Below are 9719 nucleotides of genomic sequence, written 5' to 3'. Positions count from 1 at the left end.
ACAGCCCTGTCTGACAGCCCTGTAGCAGACTCATTTGTTTTGCAGACATGTGCAATGAAGCTAAGAATACATGTCCTGAACATGGTCAAAACAGGATGCTTCCTAATCCATGTCCGTGGCTTGCCTTCTTTCTAGAGCTCTCCCATGGCTCAAATGGCTGTGGATTCTGGTTCTGATGCCATGCCATTAGCTCATACACCATGATTACAACTGAATTCATCATCTGGGTCCTAAATTATTTCCATCCTCCTGTCCTATTTTGGTCAAGAGTATTTCCACTTCTCCAGTCCCCTAGTATGGTAGGCAGCTTCCAGCATGGCTCCCAGCGACCCCTGTCTCCTTGTCTTCATGCCCATGTGTAGTTCCTTCTCCTTGTGTATATGGGCTGGACTCGTGACTTGGTTTTAATGAATAAACACAGCAAGGGTGATGGATGCCACTTTGGAAATCAGATTATAAAAGACAGTGACTTCCATCTTGTTCAGATTCTTTTCACGTGCTTGCTCTGACAAAGCAAACTGGAGAGATTCACGTGGCAAGAAACTGAGTCCTGGAACCAATACCCCCCAGATGCCAAGGGATGACTGTTTTGTTATTGTCATTATTGTTGCTTTAAACAATTGTTCATCGGAAGAGATCAAAGCTTCGGAGACCATTTTGGCTCTTTCCACTCCTGTTTCCAGTAGAGCTAATCCCTATATCGTCTTCTTTGTGACTGTGAGATTCTCATCTTCATCTCACTCTCCACACCCCTCCTGGGTTCAGGCCTTGCTGTCCTCAGGCCAGGGGCACATCCAGCCCTCATGCTTGTCTCCATGTGCCCCTTTGTTTACCAGATCTCCCTTCTAAAACACTTCTTGTCACCTCTGTATAAGGCACAGTTCAGGGTCACTCTTTGTGTAAGGCACAGAGCTCTCAACCCACCCTTGGGGGCTCCTACCGCCACCCCTTTGTCTTTCCTGACCAAGCCTCACCCAGCCAACCCCATGGTCCCTCTTCCATGCCCACTGCTCTGCTGATCTCTGCCTCTGTGTCCTTCTCCTCTCGTGTGCGTGGAAGCGGTGCCCAATTCCCCTGTCTCTGAGACCTCCCATCCACCAGGATCGTTGACTATTGACTTTCCGCAGCACTTTTGTACTTGATATTTCCACCCTCTCTTTCTGTCTTAAATATTGACTTGAAATCATTATCTAGTCATTTTTAAATCATAGATATCACTCACTGAAGATACAATTAATCTTCACAACTGCTGTGCAAAGTAGATGTGATGATCTCCATTTTATGACTGGGGAAACTGAAGTTCAAGGCCACACAGCTAATAAAAATCACTGCCAAAATCCAAGCCCAGGCCCATATACTCTTTCCCACCCAGGGCTCCACTGACTTCCCCTCCATTTGCCTGGGAAACACCTTGTTCCCCAAGTCTTCTGAATCCCTACAATAATTGGGGATTTTACTCTAGGGTAGAAAACAAAGTGATATGTGCAAATTTCTGACAGACACATACATTTCAACCACAATTTATTAAATATTGACCAAGTTAAATGGATAGCAAGGTTAATTTATATTTTGTAAAACAAAGTAATGAAAATGTTATATTTTTGGTAACACTGCATGTCCGTATCAAATATAAGTGTTGAAAATTTTCCATTTCTGGTCAGTTAAGTCTGACTCTGTTCCATTAAATATCTACATTAAATGAAGTACCATACTGTCTTAAGATTTATGCATTTATATGAATAGACTCCAGGGTGTAGCACTTTAATCTATAAAAAGTACTAACTAAAAGTAACCGTTGCCATGGCAACACACTGCATGCATTAGTAGCCTTCAAAGGCAAAGCACTTTTGGAAATGAGCATTTACTGATGCCCCAGACAAACCGAAACTCAATGGAATGGATTTTAAATCACCGTTAACACTTGGAACTTCATTCCTAGGTTTAAAGTAGATCACGGAGCTTCACAGCACATATATTATTTTTCACTTAAAAGAGAGTATTTCATTAGTGAGTGACTGCTGATTTTCTATACACATTTTGAGAAACTCAAAAAGATAGATTTTAAAGTGAATCTAGATGAGCAAGGTCCTAGAAGAGCTATGAACATTTGGCAACACAAGAGTGAGGGAGAATAGAGCACTCTCCCTGCGTGAAGTCGTTGCACAAAGTCAGAGTGATAAGACAATTTGGTCCTGGCAGAGGAAACATAAAGAGATGGATGCAGCCTGCAAGAGCCCAAAATTGCCCTCATGGACCTTGGATGGGCACAGGAAAGCAGTGGCACACAAGACCTGTGGGGAGACGATGGATGTGTAGATGAATCTGTTAACAGCAATGATGGGGAAAACCCCTCACTAGATGGAGAGCATAGGGTTGGATCCCTGCCTCACGCTGTGTAGCAAAGGCAAAGTCCTATTGGATTCACTACCCACATATGAAAAGGAAATCCACAACCCAGATACCAAAAGGTGAGGGGAAATATCTCTGAGACCTCAGGGAGGAGATTTCTTAAACAAGACTCCAAATGCACATATTACAGGGCAAAATATGATGAACACAACCATATAAAAACTAAACATTTAAGGTGTATTAGTCCATTGTCACACTGCTATAAAGAACTAACTGAGGCTAGGTAATTTATGAAGAAAAGAGATTTAATTGACTCATAGTCCTACAGGCTGTACAGGAAGCATGGTTCAGAGGCCTCAGGAAATTTACAATCATGGTGGAAAACGAAGGGGAAGCAGGCACGTGTTACCATGGTGGAGCAGGAGAGACAGCAAAGGGGGAAGTGCCACACACTTTTAAACCATCAGATCTCGTGAGAACTCGTGAGCTGAGGTAGGAAGACTGGCAACACAGTGAAACACCATCTCTACAAAATTTTTAAATTGACCAGGCATTGTGGTGCATGCCTATACTTCTAGCTACTTGGGAGGCTGAAGCAAGAGGATTGCTTGAGCCCAGGAATTCAAGGTTACAGTAAGCTATGGTTGTACCACTGCACTACAGCCTGGGCAACAGAGCAAGACCCTGTCTCAAAAAAGCCTAAACATTTCTGTTCAGTGAAGACATCTTAATCAAAGTTAGCAGAGAACAATTTTCTCGAAGAAGATATTTGAAATGAATAAAATTGACAAGGGATTAATATACAGACCAACACTATCCAAGAGAATTGGCTGTGATGATGGAAATGGTGTAGGTCTATGCTGGCCACTGGATAGTTGTGGTTACTGAGCACTTGAAATGGGAGGAGGGTGACTGAGGAGCTAAATTTTTAATTCTATTTAACTTTAATAATAATTATTATTATTGTTTTAGATAGGGTCTCTGTCACACAGGCTGGAGTGCAGTGGTGTGATTACAGCTCACTGCAGCCTTTACCTCCTGGGCTCAGGTGATTCTCCCACCTCAGCCTCCTAAGTAGCTGGAATTACAGGTGTGCCACCACACCTGGCTAATTTTTGTATTTTTAGTAGAGATGGGGTCTTGCCATGTCTCCCACGCTGGTCGTGAACTCCTGAGCTCAAGTGATCCACCTACCTTGGCCTCCCAAAGTGCTGGGATTACAGGTGTGAGCCACCACTCCCAGCCTAATTAATTTCAATAGCCACATAGGACTGGTGGCTAACGTATTAGCACAGATCTAGAATATACAAGTAACTCCTACAAATCAATAAGAAAAGAGAAAACTCAAAATATGAATAGGCAAAAAGAAACAAATGACTTCATCTTAATTTCTTACCTTAATTCTCCTCTTCTTCCTCCACTTCTTTGCTTATTTTATTTTTATTTTGTCGTATGTATTTCTTTCTTTATTTTTATCTATTTATTTATTTATTTTTTTTGAGACAGAGTCTTGCTCTGTCACTAGGCTGGAGTGCTGTGGCGTGATCTCGGCTCACTGCAACTTCCACCTCCCAGGTTCAAGCAATTCTCCTGCCTCAGCCTTCCCAGTAGCTGGGATTACAGGCACGCGCCACCACACCCAGCTAGTTTTTGTATTTTTAGTAGAGATGGGGTTTCACCATGTTAGCCAGGATGGTGTTGATCTCCTAACCTTGTGATCCACCCACCTGGCTCTCCCAAAGTGCTGGGATTACAGGCATGAGCCACCGCGCCCGGCCCCTGTTGTATGCATTTCTATAATCCACCCCAAATCCCTCTTTGGCAGTGAGATGGAGCATAAATATATATAACAACAACCCCCACTCATGGATGGGCTGATCTGACTGAGGCTGGTCTCACTGGATCTTTGAGCTTTTATGAGTCGGGCCGGCACTGGCTGTGGGGAGGAAAGGGGGTCCACATCCTCACATCATGTGCAGAGGCCCTGTCATCATGACAAACTCTTTATGCAAGTCTGTGGATCAACAGAAATCCCAAAGACTCCTAAGACAGTGAACAAAGGACTCCACTGTTTTTTCAGCCCCACACAGGCTGACACTTAGAGGACATGCTGCATTCTTCTGTGATTTTTACACAACTGAGAAGAAATTTTAACTTTGTTTAAAGCTAATACATCTTTTACCGGGCGTGGTGGCTCACACCTGTAAACCTAGCACTTTGGGAGGCCGAGGCGAGAGGATCACTGAAGCTCAGGAGTTCAAGGCCAGCCTGGGCAACATATTGAGACATTGTCTCTATTTAAAAAATAATAATAAAGCTAATACATCTTTAGTCAAAGAGAAAATGGAAGAAATGACAATTTATTACTTAACTGAACAAGAACAAAATTTCATTTTATTCTTGTCATTGCACCCTCAGAGAAACATAATTGAGGTGGAAGGATCCAGAAGAAAGGAACCAGTGATGATGAGGACAGAGGGCTCTCCACGGGAAGGTGGGAGAGAATTTAGTTCTCTGTGCCGTGAAGATGGGATTGGAGCCATACATGTGAGTGCGTCACACATGTGACTGAGATGTGCAAGTCCCTGAATGATACAAGTGAATGAAGGGGAAATGCAGATAAAACAAATACTGTTTTGTTCAGACAAATGCTTTCAGGAAGAAACTTTGTTTCCTCTATTGGACAACAATAGGTAGTTTCTACTCCAAAGGTATTAAATTTAAGGACATGAAATTGTCAGTTTTGCAGGACAAAAACAGCCAACAAAAATGGCGATTTCACCTGGTTCAACACGGTCCTTAACTAGAAAAGGCATCATAGCCTGCCTGAGACATGAGAAAAGAGGTCACAGTCTCTCATTACAGTGAGGTCTCAGGACCCCGGCCTGGAAAGAAAGGGAATTGGTTAGCACCCAGATCCAGAGTCCACGTTTCAGGGAACCAACAGGCAAGCCTCAAGTCCAAAAGGGTGTAAACAGAGTGGCCAGAACCCAACCTTCAGCACAGCGTCTGCAGTGGAAGGCAGCCACACAGTGAGGAGTACTGAGCAAAGAGCCTTCAGGTGTCTATACCATAAAAGAAAAAAAAATGAGCTAGGAAACCCCCAAACCATCCAGACAATAGACAATAGAGTCCATTGATCTTTAAAACTCCAAGTCCAGTTTTGAGGTTTACATGTACTTTTGTTGAATTGCTTCATCTTTAGACTAAGTGAAGGCAGTTAGGAGAACATGCCCCAGTGTTTTTAGGTAACTCCACAGAAGACAATGCATCTTCCTCAGAGATGTTCCCACACTGACCGTGCAGTAGCTCCATCCAGATGGGTCATAGTGCTCAGAGGTGAGGTGTGGGTGCTCAGAGCTCAGGTTGTGGGTGATCAGAGGTGAGGCAGAAGCCTTGCAGAGGAAGGCAGCTTTGAAAGAAGTGTAGGGGAAAGTGCAGGAGGATCCAATTCTAAACTCCCGTTTGATTGGCTGTGAAATTTCTTCTGTTTTATATTTTGTAATGCAAAATAATGGTGTCTGTTTTTCTTTCAATAAAAATGCATCATAGGCCAGGTACGGTGGCTCAGCCTGTAATCCCAACACTTTAGGAGGCCAAGGCAGGGAGATTGCTTGAGCCCAGGAGTTCAAGACCAGCCTGGGCAACATAGCAAGACCCCCATCTCTATAAAAAATTTTTAAAAAAATTAACTGGACATGGTGGCAAGTGCCTGTAGTCCCAGCTACTTGGGAGGCTGAGGTGGGAGGACGACTTAAGCCCAGAAGTTCAAAGCTGAAGTGGGCCGTGTTTGAGCCGTTGCACTCTAGCCAGGTGACAGAGTGGGACCCTGTCTCAAAAAAAAAAAAAAAAAAAATCATAAAGGCATCCAAACCAGAAAGGAAGAAGTAAAATTATGTCTGTTCACAGACATGATCTTATATGTAGAAACCCCTAAAGATTCCACAAACTATTAGAACTAATAAACAAATTCAGCAAAGATGCAGAATATACAGAATATAAAATCAACATATAAAAATCAGTTGCATTATCATACACTAAAATGAACAGTCAGAAGAGGAAACTAAGAAAACAATTCCATTTCTAATAGAATCAAAAAGAATAAAATACTCAGAATTAACCAAGAGGCAAAAGACTTGTACACTGAAAACTACAAAGTGTTTCTGAAAGAAATTAAAGAAGATACAAATAAATGGAAATACAGTACATGTTCTTATATTTAAAGACTGAATATAGTTAAGAAGTCCATACTAACCAGAGCAATCTACACATTTTGTGCAATCCTTGTCAAAATCTCATGGATGTTTCACAGAAATTAAAAAAAAAATTCATCCTAAAATTCGTATGGTATTTCAAAGGATCTTGAATAGCCAAAACAGTCTTGAAAAAGAATAACAAAGTTGGAGGTCTCATATTTCTTGATTTCCAAATTTATTACAAAGCCATAGTACCTTTATGGCATAAAGACACACATATGAATCAGTGGAATTGAATAGAGAGCCCAGAAATAAACCCTCCCTCCCATATATGGTTAAATGATTTTCAACAAGAGTGCCAAGATCATTCAAAGGGGGAGAACAGTCTTTTCCACAAATGATGCTAGGAAAACTGGATAGCCACATGCAAAAAATAATGAATTGGATGCTTTCCTTATACTATATACAAAAATTAACACAAAATCGATCAAAGACCCAAATGTAAGAGCCAAAACTATATAAGCCTGAGAAGAAAACATAGAGGAAAATCTTCTTGATACTGAGTTTGGCAATGATTTCTTGGCTATGACACCAAAAGCACAGGCAACAAAAGTAAAAATAGATAAATTATATCAAAATTAAAAACTTTTGTCTGTCAAAAGACAAAAGTCAACAGAATGAAACAGTCAACAGAATGAAAAGGCAACCTATGGAATGGGAGATAATATTTGCAAATCATACATCTGACAAAGGGTTAGTATCCGGAATATATAATGACCTCCTACAACTCAACAACAACAAAAAGATAACCCAGCTTAGAAATGGGCAATGGACTTGAACAGACAGCTATCCAAATAATGTATGTAAGTGTACAACAAGCATAGTCAAAGATGCTCAACATCACTGATCAATAAAGAAATGCAAATTAAAACCACCGTGAGATACCACCTCATACCCATTAGAATAACTGCTTGCAAAAAAAACCCAGAAAATAGCAAGTGTTGTAGAGAATGCAGAGAAATTCAATTTTTTGTGCCCTGTTGTTGGCAATGTAAAATGGTGCAGCAGTTTTGAACAACGCTATGGCAGCTTCTTAAAAAATTAAATACAGAATTACCATATGATACAGCAACTCCACTTCTGGGTATATAACCAAATAATTGAAAAGATTGCAAAGAGATATTTGTACAATCATGTTCATAGCAGCAATGTTCACAATCGCCAAAAGATGGCAACAACTCACCTGTCTATCGACAGAAGAATGGCTAAGCAAAATGTGGTCTATGCATACAACGGAATATTATTCAGCCTTAAAAAGGAGGACAATTCTGACACGTGCTACAACGTGGATGAACCTTAAGGACATTATGCTAAGTGAAATACGCCAATCCAAAAGGACAAATACCGAATGATCCCATTCATATGACCTCTCTAGAGTAGTCAGCTATAGAAACAGAAGGTGGAATTGTGTTTGCCAGAAGCTGGGGAGAAGGGAAAATGAGGGGTTGTTGTTTAATAGGTATAGTTTCAGTTTTATGAGATAAGTCCTAGAGACTGGTTACCCATTAATGTGGATATACTTAACACTAGAGAACTGTACACTTAAAATTGTTAAAATGGTAAAGTTTTGTCATGTGTATTTTACCGCAATTAAAACTTTTTAAAGCATATATCATGAAGAAATATCCTATTTAGTTCTCAAACATCTTCAAGTGATTTAATAATTGTTTATGGTAACACATGATTTAAATGTTTAACATGAGACTACATTTATATAAAACTTGTACAGTCATTTGACTGAATTTGCCAATCAAGTTAGGTGAACTACTCAATGATTTTCTTGTAGAAACTGCAAAAATCGCCCCCTTGATTTAGACATCCTCATGGTATAATTTACAGATTTGAGTTAGTTGGTGGGAATGTAAATTAATACAGCCACTATGGGGAAAAGTATGGAGGTTCCTCAAAAAAGACTAAAAACAGAACTACCATATGATCCAGCAATCCCACTGCCAGTATATACCCCAAAGAAAGGAAATCAGTATATTGAAGATATATCTGCATTCTCATTTATTGAAGTGTTATTCACAATAGCCAAGATTTGGAAGCAACCTAAGTGTCCATCAACAGACAAATGGATAAAGAAAATGTCGTACACATACACAGTGGAGTACTCTATTCAGCCATAAAAAAGAGTGAGATTCTGTCATTTGCAACACTGTGGATGAAACTGGAGGTCATTATGTTAAATGAAACAAGCCAGGCACAGAAAGACAAACTTGACCTGCTCTCACTCATTTGTGGGAGCTAAAAATTAAAACAATTAAATTCATGGAGATAGTAGAATGATGGTTACCAGAGGCTGGGAAGGAGGAGAGGGAAGATGGTTAATAGCTACAAAAATATGGTTAGATAGAATTAATAAGATCGCATATTTGATAGCACAACAGGGTGACTATAGTTAACAATCATTTATTGTACATATAAAAATATCTAAAGTAGTATTATTGGAATTTTTGTACCACAAAGCAATGATAAATGCTTGACATAATGGCTATGTCATGTTCCCTGATGTGATTATTATGGATTGCATGCCTGTATCAGAATATCTCATGTACCCCATATATATATACACCTACTATGTACCAACAAAAATAAAAAATAAAATACAGTAAAAATATTTGAGGCCAGGTGCAGTGGCTCACACCTGTCATCCCAGCACTTTGGGAGGCCAAGGCAGGTGGATCACTTGAGCTCAGGAGTTCACAACCAGCCTGGGCAATATGGTAAAACTTCATCTGTACAAGAAATACAAAAATTAGCCAGGGGTGGTGGTGCATGCCTGTGGTTCCAACTACTTAGGAGGCTGAGGTGGGAAGATGGCTTGAGCCCTGGAGGAAGAGGTTTTAATGAGCCATGATCACGCCATTGCACTCCAGCCTAAGGAATAGAGTGAGACCCTGTCTAAAATAAATAAAGATTTGTGTTAGAATAAAATTCAAACCAGCTTCAGCCACCAAACTGTGGTTTTCAGCAAGTCTCTTCACGTCCATAAATCTCAGTTTCCTCATCTGTAGTGTGGATTGCTTTGAAAATTGAGTGAAAATATGAGTGTCTGTTTTCTTCTTACATCAGATTCATCCACTTTCCCCTCCCTTTCTTATGCTTGCTCAG

The sequence above is a fragment of the Homo sapiens genome, chromosome 15, assembly GCF_000001405.40.
Source record: "Homo sapiens chromosome 15, GRCh38.p14 Primary Assembly".
Taxonomy (NCBI): Eukaryota; Metazoa; Chordata; class Mammalia; order Primates; family Hominidae; genus Homo; species Homo sapiens.
Note: the sequence above shows the minus strand (reverse complement) of the source record.